General features: G+C 46.8%; 1 long non-coding RNA gene and 1 pseudogene across 1 annotated transcript, besides 1 other annotated feature; one reads left to right on the top strand and one right to left on the bottom strand.

The window, feature by feature from the left end:
* Positions 1 to 2,852: 2,852 nt before the first annotated feature.
* On the bottom strand, positions 2,853 to 11,399 carry LOC107985549 (uncharacterized). The gene is made up of 4 exons (XR_002958745.2): positions 10,971 to 11,399; positions 6,346 to 7,279; positions 4,894 to 5,088; positions 2,853 to 3,015 (listed from the first exon to the last, which is right to left on the bottom strand). It is a non-coding gene; the product is annotated as an uncharacterized LOC107985549 (long non-coding RNA).
* Positions 15,192 to 15,792, top strand: BBLNP2 (BBLN pseudogene 2; annotated as a pseudogene).
* Positions 15,582 to 16,083: an enhancer, noted in NCBI's record as "H3K4me1 hESC enhancer chr22:29231311-29231812 (GRCh37/hg19 assembly coordinates)". NCBI's record gives its function as "activates a minimal SCP1, AML or CMV promoter by ChIP-STARR-seq in naive H9 embryonic stem cells {active_cell/tissue: H9 hESC(naive)}" and the evidence as "EXISTENCE:reporter gene assay evidence [ECO:0000049][PMID:30033119]".

Here is a 19,007-nt window from a genome sequence, read left to right as displayed (position 1 = left end):
CACCTCCAGCATTCAAGCAATTCTCCCGCCTCAACCTCTCAAGTAGCTGGGATTACAGGCGCATTCCACCATGCCCGGCTAATTTTTTTTGTATTTTTAGTAAAGACGGGGTTTCACCATTTTGGCTACACTGATCTTGAACACCTGACCTCAAGTGATCCACCCACCTGGGCCTCCCAAAATGCTGGGATTACAGGCATGAACCACCGTGCCTGGACCCCTGAGTTCTTTATGATAATCTTTGTTTTCTTTTCTAAAATTTCAAACCTACAGAAAAGTGGAAAGAACAGTATGTATAGCTTTCATTGGCATTGCAAATTATTAACTTCTACCCTTTCTGTTTCACTTTTCCTGAACCATTTGAAAGTAAGTTGCAGATATGAAGACTAAAGCAACAACAACAACAACAGCAACAACAACAAACTCCTAAGCACTCAGGCTGGGAGCGGTGGCTCAAGTCTATAATCCCAGCACTTTGGGAGGCTGAGGCAGGAGGATCACTTGAGGCCAGGAGTTCGAGACCAGCCTGCACAACATGGCGAATCTCTGTCTCTACTAAAAATACAAATATTAGTCACGGTGGTGCACTCCTGTAGTCTCAGCTACGGGTGGCTGAGGCACAAGAATCACTTGAACTCAGGAGGCAGAAGTTGCAGTGAGCCGAGATCACGCCACCATACTCCAGCCTGGGCGACAGGGCGAGACTCTGTCTCAAAAACAAACAAACAAACAAACCAAAAAACTCCTAAGCACTCAAAATACATCTCCTAAGAATAAGGACATTTTCCTATACAACCACAATATCATTCTGGTTATGATAATTTTAACTTTTGTTTTAATAATGTAAATAACACCATGTAAACATATTCTGGAACATCTAGATGGCCTCATTATATTACAGTACTGTCTCTCAAATTCAGTGCCTTTAGTAGACAGGATAGGCTAGATTATGCTGCAGGTAACAGCCCCAGCCTGGGCAACATAGGAGACTCCATCTCTACCAAAAGTCTTTGAAAATTAGCCAAGTGTGGTGCTGTGCACCAGTAGTTTTAGCTACTCGGGAGGCTGAGGCAGAAAGATCGCTTGAGTTCAGGAATTGAAGGCTGCAGTGTGCCATGATCACGCCACTGCATTCCAGCCTGGGCAACAAAGGGAGACCCTGTATCAAACAAAAAGAAAAAGAATGAAATCATGTTATTTACACTAACATGGATGGAACTGGAGGTCATTATGGTATAATTGAAATAAGTCAGGCACAAAAAGACGAATATTGGATGTCCTCACTCGTGTGGGAGCTAAAAAGCTGATCTCAAAGAGTCAAAGAATAGAATGCCATGTACTGGAGGCTGGGATGGGTGTATGGACGGGAGGGGGGTGATGAAGAGAGGTGGGTTATCAAACATACAGTTAGATAGAAAAAGTTCTAATGTTTGATGGCAGAGTAAAGTGACTATACTTAGCAACGATGGACTGTGTATTTCAAAGCAGCTAGAAGAGAGGACTTGAAATGTTCCCAACACTTAGAAATGGTAAGTCCTCGGGCTGGGCATGGTGGCTCACACCTGTAATCCCAGCACTTTGGGAGGCCAAGGTAGGTGGATCACCTGAGGTCAGGAGTTCAAGACCAGCCTGGCCAACATGGTGAAACCCTATCTCTGCTAAAAATACAAAAATTAGCTGGGCATGGTGGCAGGCACCTGTAATCCCAGCTACTCGGGAGGCTGAGGCAGGAGAATCGCTTGAACCCAGGAGGCCGAGGTTGCAGTGAGCAGAGATGGAGCCGCTGCACTCCAGCCCCTCCAGCCTGGGTGACACAGCAAGACTCCGTCGAAGGGAAGGGAAGGGAAGAGAGGGGAGGGGAGGGGAGGGGAGGAGGGGAGGGGAGGGGAGGAGACGACGGGAGGGGAGGGGGGAGGGGAAGGAAGGGAAGGGAAGGAGGGAGGAAGGAAGGAAGAAGGAAGGAAAGGAAAGGAAGAAGGAAAAGAAAGAAAAGAAAGAACTGGTAAGTCCTCAAGGTGATGGATACCCCAAATACCCTGACTTGATCATTACACATTCTGTGCCTGTAACAGATACTCACATGTCCCCATCAATATGTGAAATATATGTCCCCATCAATATGTGAAATATTATGTATCAATTTATAAAACGTGTACTGCTGCAAGGCGCAGTGGCTTACAGGAATTTGAGACCAGCCTGGTCAACATGGCAAAACCCCATCTCTACCAAAAATACAAAAATTAGCCAGGCGTGGTGGTGCGCACCTAAAGTCCCAGCTACTCTGGAGGCTGAGGCAGAAGAAGAATCACTTGAACCCAGAGGACAGAGTTTGCAGTGAGCCAAGATCGCACCACCACACTCCAGCCTGGGCAACAGAGACTCTGTCTCCAAAAAAAAAAAAAAAAAACGTGTATTGCTACCTCACACTATATATCCATTACATGGCACCTGGCAGTTTCACATCACCTCCCTCCAAAAGCCAGGATGACACCAAAGTAGACTTTTTTTTTTTTCTTTTTTTTGGATACAGAGTCTCACTATGTTACCCAGGCTGGTCTCAAACTCCTGGCCTCAAGCAATCCTCCCACCCTTGGCCTCCTGAGTCGCTGGGATTACAGGCATGAGCCAGCATGCCTGGCAGTAGCCCTCATTTTGAATATTGCTGGTTGCCATTTTGAATATGGCTGGTTGCCATGACAGAGGGAGATAGAACTCTCAAAAGGTCTCGCACCAGCTATTCTATGCTCTGGCCCAGCTCACAGCTCATTAGCCAGTACTAGGTGCCCAGAAGTCAGAGCATAGAGATTTGGGTGAGCAAAATTAATGGCATGTGTTTGTGATGGTCATGGAGATGAGATAGAGCTAACTTTAATTGTCATGGGCAATAAGAACAGAACACAGTGGGGCCCAGTGGCTCACGTCTGTAATACCAACACTTTGAGAGGTCGAGGTGGGAGGATCTTCTTGAGGCCAGAAGTTCAAGACCAGCCTGGGCAACACAGCAAGTTCTTGTCTCTACAAAAAAAATTTAAAAATTAGCTGAGTGTGGTGACGCATGGCAGGCCGAGACCAGAGTATCACCTGGGCCCAGGAGTTTAAGGATGTAGTGAGCTATGATAGTGCTACTGCACTCCAGCCTGGGTGACAGAGCAAGACTCTATCTCTAAAAATAATAAATAAATAAATAAATAAATAAATAAATGATTTTATTCAAAAGCTTCTCCTAGCACCTTCTGTTGACACCTCATTGGTAAGATCTCAGTCACGTGGTCAACTATGGCTGCAAAAGAGCCATGGGAAATACCGTTTTTCTAGCTAGGTACACAGCTGTCCTAATGAAGTAAATTGAAATTCTGTTATTCTAATTTAGTAAGAAAGAATAGACATTAAGAGGTCTCTAAGCAGGCCGGGCGTGGTGGCTCACGCCTGTAATCCCACGACCTTGGGAGGCCGATGCAGGTGGATCAATTGAGGTCAGGAGTTTGAGACCAGCCTGACCAACATGGCAAAACCCCATGTCTACCAAAAGTACAAAAATTAGCCAGGCGTGGCAGCAGTTGCTGTGATCCCAGCTCCTCTGGAGGCTGAGGCAGGAGAATCGCTTGAACCTGGGAGACAGAGGTTGCAGTGAGTCCAGGTCGCACCATTGCACTCCAGCCTGGGTGGCAGAGTGAAACTCCCTCTCAAAAAGAAAAAAAAAAAAAGGCCGGGTGCGGTGGCTCATGCCTGTAATCCCAGCACTTTGGGAGGCTGAGGCGGGTGGATCACCTGAGGTCAGGAGTTCGAGACCAAACTGAACAACATGAAGAAACCCTGTCTCTACCAAAAATAAATTAGCCAGGCATGGTGATACATGCCTGTAATCCCAGCTACTTGGGAGGCTGAGGCAGGAGAATTGCTTGAACCTGGGAGGTGGAGGTTGCAGTGAGCTGACATCACGCCATTGCACTCCAGCCTGGGCAACAAGAGTGAAACTCCGTCTCAAAAAAAATAAAGAGTTCTCTAGGCAGCAGTGTCTGCCACAGGCTGCCTGCCTTTATGCAAGATGTTTTCTTTACCAGAAATGCCCTTCTGGATATAGCCAACCCCCATCCAAGCTACACTTCCCCTATGTTATATGTGAAATGTTTATTTAGAAACAGAATGCTTGTTCCCTGATGCTGTAAAGAAATAGCACTCAAACATAAATTTAATTCTCTCAGCAAGGCAATTTTTACTTTCTGCAGAAAGGGTGCTCACTGCAGATGGAACAATGGCAAGAGCACACCTGAATAAAGGAGGGAAGCAATTTTTATCCCTTACACAGTTCGTCCCTGCTACTGTGTCCCGTCTCCATTGGCTGGAGCCAGACCTCAAAATTTAAACTAAAACCTGATTGGCTAATAACATTAAACTTTTCTAAATAGGTAAAAGCAATGGAAAGACAAAGGAAAAGAGGAAGCTGCTTATGAAAGGATTTTTAAAAAGTAATAATATTCCTAAATAAGGAATGGGTATAGGCTGCGAGCTGGGACATGCCTGTGAGCACGTCCAGCACAGATACCTTGGTTAAAGTACTACATAGAATGTACTACCTGCCTGTGAGCATGTCTAGCATAAAGTTAATCTTTAAAAGAAACTATTATTTTTAACAGTTGTGATTTATTCTTTAACAAGAAAGGAAACTTTGAAGAGGAACTTTTACTTTCTACACCCTATTTCACAAAGGTCTCCTTGACTTCACAGTTTTATCAATCCCTGTCCACACCGAACTCCTTGAGGGTAAGGACTGTGTCTTATTTATCTTATGTATCCATATGCCTTTGCCTGGCACAGAATAGACCCCTAGTAAATATTTGAATTAGTGGGGACTTGAACGTGCTATTGTTTATTAATCATAAAAATGTGACTCACCCCAATCATGAGATCAGGGCCATAGTGAATCCACCTTGGCTTTCCCCACTGTGCCTGGCCCAGAGCAGATGTTCCAGCTGGAACACACTCCATCCAGCCCCACCTTCCCTGGCTTTCCTGAGGCAGATCCGTTTTGTAGATCATAGTACTGGACAGGATTTGGCAGGTTTCTGGCCTGGGTCGTTCCTTATAGAGCTGTGAGAGGTACATGTGAAAAGAGCCTCATGTGAGGTCATACAGCGAGTTAGCAGCAGTGCACATATCAGACCCAGAGCTTCAGCTTCCCAACCCAAGGACATTCATTCAGTGACTATGCTCCAAAGTCATGCTGGCTTCCTTTCAGGCCCAAGGCTAGGATGGCTAAGATTGCCCCAAAAGATGACCCCAGGATTAAGTAAGCTGTAACAGTATGTTAAAGCTACTTTTTTTTCTTTTTTTCTTTTTTTTTTTTTTTTTTTTTGAGATGGAGTCTCACTCTGTTGCCCAGGCTGGAGTGCTGTGGCATGATCTCAGCTCACTGTGACCTCCACCTCCCAGGTTCAAGTGCTTCTCCTGCCTCAGCCTCCTGAGTAGCTGGTATTACAGGCATGTGCCACCATGCCTTGCTAATTTATTTTTAGTGGGGACGGGGTTTCACCATGTTGGTCAGGCTGGTCTCGAACTCCTGACCTCAACTGATCCACCTGCTTCGGCCTCCTAAAGTGCTGGGATTACAGGTGTGAGCCACTGCGCCTGGCCTACTTTCTTTTTTAACAGAGAGAGCTGGCCAGGCGCAGTGGCTCACACCTGTAATCCCAGTACTTTGGGAGGCCGAGGCAGGTGGATCATGAGGTCAGGAGATGGAGACCATCCTGGCTAACACAGTGAAACCCCATTTCTACTAAAAATACAAAAAATTAGCCAGGTGTGGTGGTGGGCGCCTGTAGTCCCAGCTACTTCGCAGGCTGAGGCAGGAGAATGGCATGAACCCGGGAGGCGGACCTTGCAGTGAGCTGAGATGGTACCACTGCACTCCAGCCTGGGCAACAGAGCGAGACTCTGTCTCAAAAAACAAAAAACAGAGACAGCCTCACTCTGTCGACCAGGCTAGAGTGCAGTCTCTCAATCATGGCTCATTGCAGCCTCGAATTCCTGGGCTCACATGACTCTCCCACATCAGCTTCCGAAATAGCTGGTAATTCCAGCCTCTGGAACTACAGATGTGTGCCATCATGCTGGGCTAATTTTTATCATTTTTATTTTATTTTGTTTTGTTTTGTTTTGTTTTTAGAGATAGGCTCATGCTGTGTCACCAGGCTGGAGTGCAGTGGCACAGCCATAGCTCACTGTAACCTCAAACTGCTGGGTTCAAGCGATTTTCCTGCCACAGCTTCCAGAGTAGCTGAGACTACAGGTGCATGGCACCATTCTCGGCTAATATATATATATTTTTTAATAGAAATGGGGTCTCACTATGTTGTCCAGGATGGTCTCAAACTCTCGGCCTCAAGAGATTCTCCTGCCTTGGCTTCCCAGAGTGTTGAGATTACAGGTGTGAGACACTGCACTCAGCCTGCTACTTTTAATTCCACTAAAATAAGTGCCAATGTTCACTGAGGGAAAAAATGACAGAAAAATTGCTGTTACTAAACTCATGGCTTTTACATTTTATTTGATAAATTTGTCTCTCACCTTAAGGAACTATTTTTGTTTGTTTGTTGTTGTTGTTTTTGAGATAGAGTCTTACTCTGTCACCCAGGCTGGAGTACAGTGGCATGATCTTGGTTCACTGCAACCTCTGCCACCCAGGTTCAAGTGATTCTGCTGCCTCAGCCTCCCACGTAGCTGGGACTACAGGCACCCATTACCATACCTGACTAATTTTTGTATTTTTATTAGAGACAGGGTTTCACCATGTTGGCCAGACTGGTCTCGAACTCCTGACCTCAAGTGATCTTCCCACCTCAGCCTCCCAATGTGCTAGGATTACAGGTGTGGCAACCTCACATGGCCTGTTCTTCTTCTTCTTCTTCTTCTTCTTCTTCTTCTTCTTCTTCTTCTTCTTCTTCTTCTTCTTCTTCTTCCTCTTCCTCTTCCTCTTCTTCTTCTTCTTCTTCTTCTTCTTCTTTCTTCTTCTTCATTTTTTACAGAGTCTTGCTGTGTCACCTAGGCTGGAGAGTAGTGGTGTGATCATAGCTCACTGCAGCCAGCTTCAAATCCCTGGGATCAAGCGATCCTCTGCCTCAGCCTTTCAAGTAGAAAGAGCTGCTCATTCTAAGAAACACAGTGCTTAGTTCCTGCCAAAGCTTCTAAATTCCATAAGTCTCTCCTCACCTTGGTACTTCCAAATTCAAAGGTTCCCCAAACATACACACACCTCCAAACATATATATGCCCAGAATAAAACCTGGAAGGAAAAACATAAAATATCAATAGTGGATTTTTCTGTAAGTGGTAGAAACACAGGTGATTTTCATTTTCTTTTTGGTTTGCTTTTTAATTTTCCAAGTTTTCTACAATCAACATGTATTACTTTTATAAGTAGAATAAAAGCACTAAAAACAATAAATAAACCTAATGTTTGGAGAGGGAGAAGAAGTCACCAATATGCTTAAACTTGTGCTATTACAATGATGCATCTATGATTTACTCATTCACTCAACATGTGTATCCTGAGCACCTATGTGCCAAGCACTTTGTTGGGTACAAGGGTTGTTACAATGAATAAGACAAACATGGTCCCTCCCTTAACGGAAACTTTTTATCTTCTTTATTTTCCAAAGTTACTGTGATATATGTATATTGCTTACATTCTCTTCCTTTCCTTCCTTTCTTTCCTTTCTTTCCTTCCTTCCCCTCCCTCCCTCCATCGCTCTCTCTCTCTCTCTCTCTTTCTTTCTTTTCCAGAGTCTCATTCTGTCACCCAGGCTGGAGTGCAGTGGCGTGATCTCAGCTCACTGCAACCTCCACCTGCCAGGTTCAAGTGATTCTCCTGCCTCAGCCTCTTGAGTAGCTGGGATTACAGACGTGTGCCACCACGCCTGGCTAAATTTTGTATTTTTAGTAGAGATGGGATTTCACCATGTTGGCCAGGCTTTTGGGTCTGGCTGCTTTCACTTAACACAATGCTTTCAAGGTCCATCCATGTTGTATGTCATTCCTGTTTATTGCTGAATAATATTCCGTTGTATGAATAGACCACATTTGTTTATCCATTCAATATTGGTTATTATGCATAATGCTACTATGAATATTCATATGTTTAGTGCAGACATAAGTTTTCAATTCTCTTGAGTATATACCTAGGAGTGGAATTGTTGGATTATATGATAACTATGTTTAACTCTTAAGGAATTGCCATACGTGTTTTCAAAGCAGCCACACCATTTTGTATTTCTACCAGCAATATATGAGAGTTCCAATTTCTCCACATGTTGAAGAACACTTCTTGTTTTCTCTCTTTGTGATTACAGCCATCCTAGTGGATATGAAGTTGTATCTCACTGTGGTTTTGATTTGCATTTCCCTAATAACTAATGATGTTTAATGTCTTTTTTTTTTTTTCCAGACAGAGTCTTGCTCTGTTGCCCAGGCTAGAGTGCAGCTGCGTGATCTCGGCTCACTGTAACCTGCGCCTCCCAGGTTCAAACAATTCTCCTGCCTCAGCCTCCCGAGTACCTGGGACTACAGGCACCCGCCACCACACCTGGCTAATTTTTTGTATTTTTAGTAGACACGGGGTTTTGCCATGTTAGCCACGATGGTCTCTATCTCCTGGTGATCCACCTGCCTCTTGGGATTACAGGCGTGAGCCACCATGCCAGGCCTGTTTAATGTCTTTCATGTGATTACTTACCATTTGTGTATCTTCTTTGGAGAAATATGTATTCAAATCCTTTACCCATTTTTAATAGTTTTAATAACAAATTGTTATTTGTCTTTTATTGTTTAGTTGTAAGAGTTCTTTATATAGTCTGGATACTAAACCCTTATCAGATATATGATTTGCAAATATTTGCTTCCATCCATTCTGTGGGTTGTTTTTTCACTTTCTGTTTTTTGTTTTGTTTTGTTTTGTTTGTTTTTCTTGTTTTTTTTTCAAGATGGGATCTCAATCTGTTGCCCAGGCTGGAGTGCAGTGGTGTGATCAGATCGTAGCCCACTGTAGCCTCAAACTCCTGGACTCAAGCCAGCCTCCCACCTCAGCCTTTCAAGTAGCTGGAACTACAGATATGTGCCACCATGCCCTGCTAATTTTATTTTATTTTTCATAGAGACAGGGTCTTGCTGTGTTGCCCAGGCTGATCTCAAACTCCTGGCTTCAAGCGATCCGCTTGCCTCGCTCTCCCAACATGCTGGGATACAGGCGTGAGCCACTGCACCTGGCCGGTTTTCTTTCTTTCCTTATTATTTATTTATTTATTTATTTTTGAGACAGAGTTTTACTCTGGAGTACAATGGTGCGATCTTGGCTCACTGCAACCTCCGCTTCCCAGGTTCAAGCGATTCGCCTGCCTCAGCCTTCCCAAGTAGCTGGGATTACAGGCATGCACCACCATGCCCGGCTAATTTTGTGTTTTTAGTAGAGATGGGGTTTCTCCATGTCGGTCAGGCTGGTCCTGAACTCCCGACCTCAGGTGATCTGCCCGCCTCGGCCTCCCAAAGTGCTGGGATTACAGGTATGAGCCATCGCACCCGGCCCTTTCTTTCCTTATTTTTAAGTTTTATTTATTTATTTTAGAGGAGTCTTGCTCTGTTGCCCAGGTGGTAGTGCGGTGGCTATTCACAGGCATGATCATGGGGCACTGTAACCTTGAACTCCTAGGCTCAAGTGATCCTCCCTGCTCATCCTGAGTAGCTGGGACTGCCTTTTCACATTCTCGATGGTGTCCTTTGATGCACAAAAGTTTGAAATTTTGATGAAGTCCAACCTCATCACTTTGCATTTTGCCTTTTTTCTCAGCCCCTTGCTTTGGCCTGCTTGTGATGGACTGAAGCAACATCAGTGCTGCCACTGTGAGAACTTCAGGAAGCTTCTTCTGTTCTCATCTATTTGCAGCATTTTTGTACAAGTTGCTTCACATTTTTTGCCCTTGCCGTAACCTCTCCTACTCAAAGCGGTTTTTATATTGGGCACATTCTAATTTATTATTAGGCTCTAGTCAGGAGCAACCCACATTTTCAACTGATGTTTGTTGATTTCAACATCCATATGTACAATGCCCAGGTTTGGCCACCAGGTTCCTGAAAAGTTCTTTTGCCTGCTGGTGGTAACTATACATTTCCTCTGGTGAAACGGAATAAATTAGTAGGATTTCCACATCCTGGACAATGCCAACTTCTACTGCAAAAAGTTCTAAGGCCGCACACGGTGGCTCATACCTGCAATCCCAATGCTTTGTGAGGCCAAGGTGGGAGGATTACTTGAGGCCAGGAATTCGAGACCAGCCTGGGCAACATAGCAAAACCCTGTTTTTACAAAGAATTTTTTTTTTGTTTTTAGTTAGCCAGATGTGGTGGCATGCTGCCATAGTCCCAGCTACTTGGGAGATTAAGGTGGGAGGATTGCTTGAGTCCAGGAGGTTGACGCTGCAGTGAGCCATGATTGTACCATTGCACTCTAGCCTGGGCAACAGAGTGAGACACTGTCTCAAAAAAAAAAAAAAAAAAAAAGCCAGGCCTGGTGGCTCATGCCTGTAATCCCAGCACTTTGGGAGGCCAAGTAATCCCAGCACTTTGGGAGGCCAAGGCAGGTGACCTAAGGTCAGGTGTTTGAGACCAGCCTGACCAACATGGTGAAACCCCGTCTCTACTAAAAATACAAAAATTAGCCAGGCTTGGTGGTGCATGCCTGTAATCCCAGCTATTTGGGAAGCTGAGGCAGGAGAATCACTTGAATCCAGGAGGTGGAGGCTGCAGTGAGCCGAGATTGCACCGCTGCAGTGAGCCAAGATTGAGCCACTGCACTCCAGCCTGGGTGGCAGAGTGAGAGTGAGACCTGTCTCAAAAAAATAAAAACAAAAATAAAGTTCTAAAAAATACAGACGTGTCATTTCAAATTCTCCAAGAAGCAGGGGCAAAGAAGGGATTAGACGTACAAGATTTGTGGAAGAAACACCAATGGATGATAAAGAGAGGCAGAGGAGGCAGGGGGTCCTTTAGACCTCGAAGCAGGTCTACTCCTGTGAAAAGAAACGGGCAGGAAGGTTTAGGTAAGAAGAGCCTCAGAGGGCCCTGCACATCTAATAAAGTTTCAGCCAGGCTAATGGAGAGTCCTTGAGCCAAAGCTGACTGTTCTAGGTGTCCTGTGTCTCCCAGGAATGGGCCAGTACCCCATGTGCTCTGTCACTGGCTGGCTGGGAAGCCTCAGTGCAAACTCAAATGCTGAGTGGACCCAGGCGGGGCAGCACCTGGGGCTGCCAGTCTATTATGTTCTCTACAACAGTAAAGTTGAGTGGTGCATTTTCTGTTTTTTATTTGTTTAAGATGGAGTCTCGCTCTTGTTGGCCAGACTGGAGTGCAATGGCACCATCTCTGCTCATTGCAACCTCTGCCTCCTGGGTTCAAGCAATTCTCCATCCTCAGCCCCCCAAGTAGCTGTGATTACAGGCACCCGCCACCATGCCCGCCTAATTATTGTATTTTTAGTAGAGACGGGGTTTCGCCATGTTGTCCGGGCTGATCTGGAACTCCTGACCTCAGGTGATCCACCCACCTCGGCCTCCCAAAGTGCTGGGATTACAGGCATGAGCCACCTTGCCTGGCCAAGTGGTGCATTCTCATGACTACAATACAGCATATTCAATTTTTAGATAAAAGGACCTTGGCTGGGCATGGCAGCTCACGGCTGTCATCCTTGGGAGACTGATGCAGGAGGATCACTTGAAGCCAGGAGTTCGAAACCAGCCTGGGCAACATAGGGAGACCCTGTTTCTCTCTCTTTTTTTTTTTTTTTTTTTTTTTTGAGATGGAGTTTCACTCTGTCACCCAGGCTGGAGTGCAGTGGTGCCATCTCGGCTCACTGCAACCTCCACCTCCTGGGTTCAAGCAATTCTCCTCCCAAGTAACTGGGCCTCCCAAGTAACTGGGATTATAGATGTGCACCACCACGCCCAGCTATTTTTGTATTTTTAGCAGAGACGGAGTTTTACCATGTTGGCCAGGCTGGTCTCAAACTCCTGACCTCAGGTGATCCACCTGCCTCAGCCTCCCAAAGTGCTGGGATTACAGGCATGAGCCGCTGCACCTGGCCGACCCTGTCTTAAAGACAAATAAAACAAAAAAACAAAACAAACAAACAAAAAGGACTTCTAAACTCCTCCCCCTATAGTGTCTGCAGTCCAACGGTCAAAGTCAGACACTGACCATCCTGTGCTCTTCTCCCTCCCACCCACTGCCCAGGGTCGAGGAGGGAGCAACAACTATTAAGGGTCGAGTAGATGTCCAGGCCTGAGCTGCATGCTTTTTAAACTCCATTTAACCATCAAAGTGACTTTTGTGAAGTAGGTATTGTCTGACTTACTTCATAGTGATGTGGTGGGTGGCTGAGCCTAGCTGCCTGGGGGCAGGGGCAAGCTGGTATCTGGAGTTTTTGGCTTCTGGAGTGGGAAGCAGGCTCTTCCAAGATTATATAGTAAGGAACTCCATAAACAGAGAAAGGGGGACATCCAAGCGCTGGGCAGGAGAAGAAAAAAAAAAGGAAAGAAACAGAAATGTCTCTTCCACGTTTCCTTCCTTCCTTCCTTCCTTTCTTTCCTTCTTTCTGCCATTTCTTTCTTATTTTATTTTTCGAGATGGAGTCTCGCTCTGTTGCCCAGGCTGGAGTGCTGTGGTGTGATCTCTGTTCACTGAAAGCTCCGCCTCCTGGGTTCACGCCATTCTCCTGCCTCAGCCTCCTGAGTAGCTGGGACTAAGGCGCCCGCCACCACACTCGGCTAATTTTTTTTTTTTTTGTATTCTTAGTAGAGACGGGGTTTCACTGTGTTAGCCAGAATGGTCTCGATCTCCTGACCTCGTGATCCTCCCGCCTTGGCCTCCCAAAGTGCTGGGATGACAGGCGTGAGCCACCGCACCCAGCTGTCTTTCTTTCTCTCTTTCTTTCTCTCTCTCTTTCTCTTTCTTTCCTCTCTCTCTTTCCTTTCTTTCTTTTCCTCCTCCACTCCCCTCCCCTCCCCTCCCCTTCCCTTCCTCTTTCTTTTCTTTTTCTTTTTTTTTTTTTTTTTGATACAGGGTCTCACTCTGTCGTCCAGGCTAGAATACAATGGTGTGATCATGGCTCACTGCAGCCTGGGCCTCCCAGGGCCAAGCGATCTTCCCGCCTCAGCCTCCTGAGTAGCTGGGACTACACGTGCAATCCACCACGCCCAGCAAATTTTTTGTATTTTTTGCAGAGATGGGGTTTCGCCATGCTGCCCAGGCTGGTCTCAAACTCCTGGGCTCAAACGATCCACCCACTTTGGCCTCCCAAACTGCTAGGATTAAAGGCTTGAGCCACTGCGCCTGGCCACCTTCTGTTTTCTGACCCAGACCCCTGCCCAGGCAGCACTGCAACTCTCTCCTTTGTGTCCCTGCCCTGACTGCAGCCCTCATCATGCTACTGGTGGTTGCTTAGATTTACCTTCCCTTGTTTTAAGTCTTTGGCTGTGTGGATACAGTCTTTGTTATCATTCATTCTCGCAGCCCTGTAGACCCTGGGGACTTAGTGGTAAATGAGATAGGCACCACCCCTGCGCTGCCAGAGCTTCAAGCCTAGCAGGAAACCAACAATAAAACACAATGGGCCAGGTGTGGTGGCTCAAGCCTGTAATCCCAGCAGTTTGGGAGGCCGAGGCGGGTGGATAGCCTGAGCTCAAGAGTTCAAGACCAGCCTGGGCAACACGGCAAAACCCTGTCTCTACAAAAAGTACAAAAAATTAGCCGGATGTAGTGGTGCATGCCTGTGGTCCCAGCTGCTTGGGAGGCTGAGATGGGAGGATCGCTTCAGCCTGGGAGGTGGAGGTTGCAGTGAACTGAGACTGTGCCACTGCACTCCAACCTGAGTGACAGAGCAAGACCCTCATCTGACACACACAATGGATATGAAGATGGGGTGTACAGAGTCTATGGATGGGCGCAGCAAAGGAATGAAGCTGGGGTCAGGAACAGAAGTATATGGAAGGCTTATAGGCTCTAGAAGGGACAGCTATCATTTTCCCTGCCTGGCATGTTCTCCCCTGTCTGCCCACCTGTCCTCACCTTCTGTGGTCCAGGTGAAGCTCTCAATCATAGTGCTCTGTCCCTCTCCCACCACCATCCCGCTGGACTTGTGATTCAAGCTGGCCAGTCAGACCACCCATCCCCATGTCCACAGAGACTGGCTTAGGACGTGGGTATGTAAGCCCAGTAGAACCAATCAAAGACTTCTCTGAGGCTTGATATAAGGAAACTGGGAAACAGGGGGCTTCACTTCGTCTAAGATCATAAGCTGTAAGGACAGTGTAAGGTGGAGCTGCTTGCCATTTTCCCAGGCCAGGTGGAGGAAGCCATCTGCAACAGGCAACAGCAAGGCTGACGCACAAAGGGAAGAAAATAAAGATGGAGTTGGGGGAGCCCTAGTGATATCTTTTTTTTTTTTTTTTGAGATGGAGCTCTGTCACCCAGGTTGGAGTGGTGCAGTGGCACAATCTTGGCTCACTGCAGCCTCCGCCTCCCAGGCTCAAGCGCTTCTTGTGTCTCAGCCTCCCGAGTAGCTGGGATTACAGGCGTGTGTCACCATGCCCAGCTAATTTTTGTATTTTTAGTAGAGATGGGGTTTCTGCATGTTGGCCAGGCTGGTCTCGAACTCCTGACCTCAAGTGATCCACCTGCCTCAGCCTCCCAAGATGCTGGGATTGCAGGTGTGAGCCACTGGTGCCCGGCCCCTGGTGATATCTTTTAAGTTCCTGGATCCATTTGTACTTGAAGTTCATCTCTAGACTTTTTAGTTATATGACTCATTAGCCAGAGTCTTGGTCTGTCATCCAGGCTGGAGTGCAGGAGTCCCATCATAGCTCACTGCAGCCTTGAACTCCTGGGCTTAAGCAATGCTCCCACATCAGCCTCCCAAGTAGCTAGGGCCACAGGTGTGTGCCACGAGGCCTGGCTAACTTATTATTATTATTATTTATTATTTTTTAGAGATCGGGGTCTCACTATGTTGCCCAGGCTAGTCTGAAACTTGTGGGCTTAAGTGATCCTCCCACCTCAGCCTCCCAAAGTGCCGAGATTACAGATGTGAGCCACTGTGCCTGCCTTCATGAACTTTTTTTTTTTTTAAAGCTTGTTTAAGTAGGGTTCTGTTGGGCTTTCAGCATGATGGTTTCTGTGTTCCATCCATGGTTTCACGGCCCTTGATGTGATCAAGCCTGAGACTGCAACGTCAGACCCCAAAAGGGACCCGGGAATGCTGTTGGAGGCAGGAGTGGAAGGCAAGAATGATAGCTTCGAGGAAGCAAAATACCTGCCAGCAACTCCATGCTGGACCAGATCAACTCCCGTCTGGAGCAGCTGGAGGAAAACCACCACCTCCACACCCACTTCCAGGAGCTGCTGGAATCCAACCGGCAGACACGCCTTGAGTTCCAGCAGCAGCTCCGGGAGGCCCCCAGCGATGTCAGCCTCTAGGCTCTGGGAGCCCCCAACCAGGCCCCAACCCTGCTTCCCTGGGCCAGGCTCTGGCCCCGCACCCCCTGGCTTAGATACCTTCCCAAGGGCTGGCCTTCAGTTTCCCCCAATGGGTCTGGCTGCCTGGGCCACCCTTCCAGCACTCCCCTTGGCCTGCCTGGGCCAGTCCCCACTGCCTGGCATCCCCTCCCAGAGTCAGGCATGGGCCTGCGACCCTCTACTTGCCTGCCACCCAGCTCATTCCACCCAGGCCTTAAGTGTCCACATAAAATGGGTCTCTCTCTCTCTCTTTCTCTCTCTCACACACACACACATACACACACACAAAGTAGGGTTCCATCACTGGTAAACAAAATCATCCTGACTGAAAGGCTGGGCTTTTTGTTTTGGCTATTTGGTGCTATCTGGTGGAGTAGGTGATTGGTAAGTATTCGTTAGATGGGTGGAGGTGTGGATAGACGTTGACATGAGGCAGTTTTCTTCCTTCATCCTGCTTTTCAACTTTTGAAGCCTAAGTACAGTCTTATTGTACAATATGGTGACTATAGTTAATAACATTGTATCATATACTTGCAAATTACTAAGAGAGGCCAGGCATGGTGGCTCACACCTGTAATCCCAGCATTTTGGGTGGCCAAAGTGGGCGGATCCCTTGGGGCCAGGAGTTCGAGACCAGGTTGGCCAACATGGTGAAACCCCGTCTCTACTCAAAATACAAAAACTAGCCGGGCGTTGTGGTACGCGCCTGTAGTCCCAGCTACTCGGGAGGCTGAGGCACGAGAATCGCTTGAACCCGGGAGGTGGAGGTTGCAGTGAGCCGAGAAGGCACCACTGCACTCCAGCCTGGGTGACAGCGTGAGACTCTGTCTCAAAAAAAAAAGAAAATTACTAAGAGAGATTTTAAGTGTTCTCACCACGCACACACACAAAAGATAAGTATGTTAGGCAAGCATATGTTGATTAGCTTGATTTAGCCATCCCACAATGTATACATATTTCAAAATATTATGTTGTGTACCATAAATATAGACAAATTTTGTCAATTAAAAATTAAATATTGGCTGGGCGGATCACTTGAGGTCAGGAGTTTGAGACCAACCTGGCCAACATGGCGAAACCCCATCTCTACTAAAAGACCGTCTCAAAAGAAAAATTTGAATAAAAATATCAATAATAATTTTTTTGAGACTACTCACTCTGTTGCCTAGGCTGGAGTGCAGTGGAGTGATCTCAGCACACTGCAACCTCCGCCTCCCAGGTTCCAGCTATTCTCGTGCCTCAGCCTCCCAAGTAGCTGGGACTACAGGCACTCGCCACCACACCAGGCTAATTTTTGTATTTTTAGTAGAGTCAGCGTTTTACCACATTGGCCAGGCTGGTCAAACTCCTGACCTCTAATGGTCTGCCCACCTGGGCCTCCCAAAGTGCTGGGATTACAGGCGTGAGCCACTGCGCCTGGCCTAAAAAATAATAATAATTTTAAAAACTATGTATTGTCCATGGTAGCCCAGGCCAGCCCTGCTGCACTGAAACCTCAAGTACATCTAATAGCACAGTGAGGAATAAAGTGCAGAAGTAACTGGTAACTGTGGCACAGCAAGAAATTTTCAACCTGTGGCTCAGACATTACGCTTACTTCGTGGTGGCTGACATGGACCTTCTCCCAGAATAAAAGGGATAAATGGCAGTAGCCCCCAGAGATCTAGACCTTTCTGACGGGACACATTCCTCATCCCATGTGGGCAGCTGAGGCCGGACTTCAAGTGCGCGTCTGAGGACCAAGGATCTGTGCCCAGGGCCAGGAAGTATGCTCGGTCTAAGGTATCTCCTTCACACAGCTCTTTGGCAGGTCCTGTAGAAAAGCCAATGACACTGGGCATGGTGGTTCACACCTGTGATCCCAGCAACTTAGGAGGCTGAGGCAAGGGGATCCCTTGAGGCCAGGAATTCAAAGCTGCAGTGAGCTATGATTGTGCCACTGCACTCTAGCCTGGGAGAAAGAGCAAGACTCCATCTCTAAAAAACAAGTGAAAAAAAAAAAAGCAAAGTGAAAATAATTCCAGCTGAGTCCATCTGCCTCACCAGTGCTTGAACCCAGACTGGGGGTCTGGTCTACCGCTTAGTCTCATCCAGGTATTGGTGGCATAGATACAGATGTGGGGACGGGGGAGGAAATGGCTTGAGGGATGAGACACTCATAAGTGAGAACCACAGAGTGGGTCAGAAACAGTCACTGTCAACTACCAATAATCAAGGCTGTCACTTTTCACTTTGTTTATAATGTGCCTTTTCATTCAGATGCTTTTAATTTTGATGCAAAGCAAATGATGTTTCTCCTGATTGGTACCTTTTGCATCTCTTTTTTCTTTTCTTTTCTTTTTCTCCTTCCTTCCTTCTCTCTCTCTCTCTTCCTTCCTTCCCTTTTTCTCTTTCTTTTTCTTTCTTCCTTCCTTCCTTCCTTCCTTTCTTCCTTCCTTCCTTTTTTCCTTTCCTTCTTTCCTTCTTCTTCTTTCTTTCTTTCTCTTTTTTATTTTTTTTTTGAGACAGGGTCTTGCTCTATTGCCTTGACCTGCTGGGCTCAAGCGTTCCTCCTACCTCAGACTCCCAAGTAACTGGAATTACAGGCACATGCCACCATGCCCAGCTAATTTTTTAAATTTTTTTGTAGGGATGGGGTTTTGTCATGTTGCCCAAGTTGGTCTTCAACTCCTGGGCTCAAGTGATCCTCCCACCTCAGCCTCCTAAAGTGCTGGAATAACAGGCAGGACCCACCCCACTGGCCTCATTTCATTTTTACATATAGTGCTTGGATGCATCTGAAATTTATTTACAGTTTGATGTGATGGAGCAAACCATTCCTATTTTTTTTCCCATATAACTAAGCTGTTATCCCAACACCATCCCCACTGCCCTGCTATTCTGATATCTGGGCTGAGTCAAAGTGGGCTGATTCAGCAGACTCAGTGAAGGTCACAGTGTGCCCAGCAGACTTTCTTGGGCACAGAACACTGGCCTTGCCCACACCTTAGAAGCTATGTTAATGAAGGAAGATGTTCTTATGAATTTTTTTTTTTTTTAGACAGAGTCTCGCTCTGTCATCTAGGCTTGAGTGCAGTGGCACAGTCTCAGTTCACTGCAACCTCCATCTCCTGGCTTCAACCAATTCTCCTGCCTCAGCCTCCCAAGTAGCTGGGATTATAGGCACCACCACCACGACCGACTAATTGTATTTTTACTAGAGATGGGGTTTCACCATGTTGGCCAGGCTGGTCTGGAACTCCTGACCTCAGGTGATCCACCTGCCTCTCGGCCTCCCAAAGTGCTGGGATTACAGGTGTGAGCCACCGCACCAGGCCTTCTTATGATTTTTTGAAAAGTCTCGGTTTAAAACTGTAACAACTTTACAGGCTGGGCATGGTGGCTCACGCTTGTAATCCCAGCACTTCGGGGGGCTGAGGCAGGCGGATTGCTTGAGCTCAGGAGTTTAAGGCCAG

Source organism: Homo sapiens, chromosome 22 (assembly GCF_000001405.40).
Source record: "Homo sapiens chromosome 22, GRCh38.p14 Primary Assembly".
NCBI lineage: Eukaryota > Metazoa > Chordata > Mammalia > Primates > Hominidae > Homo > Homo sapiens.
This window is presented reverse-complemented; position numbering and strand designations above follow the sequence as displayed.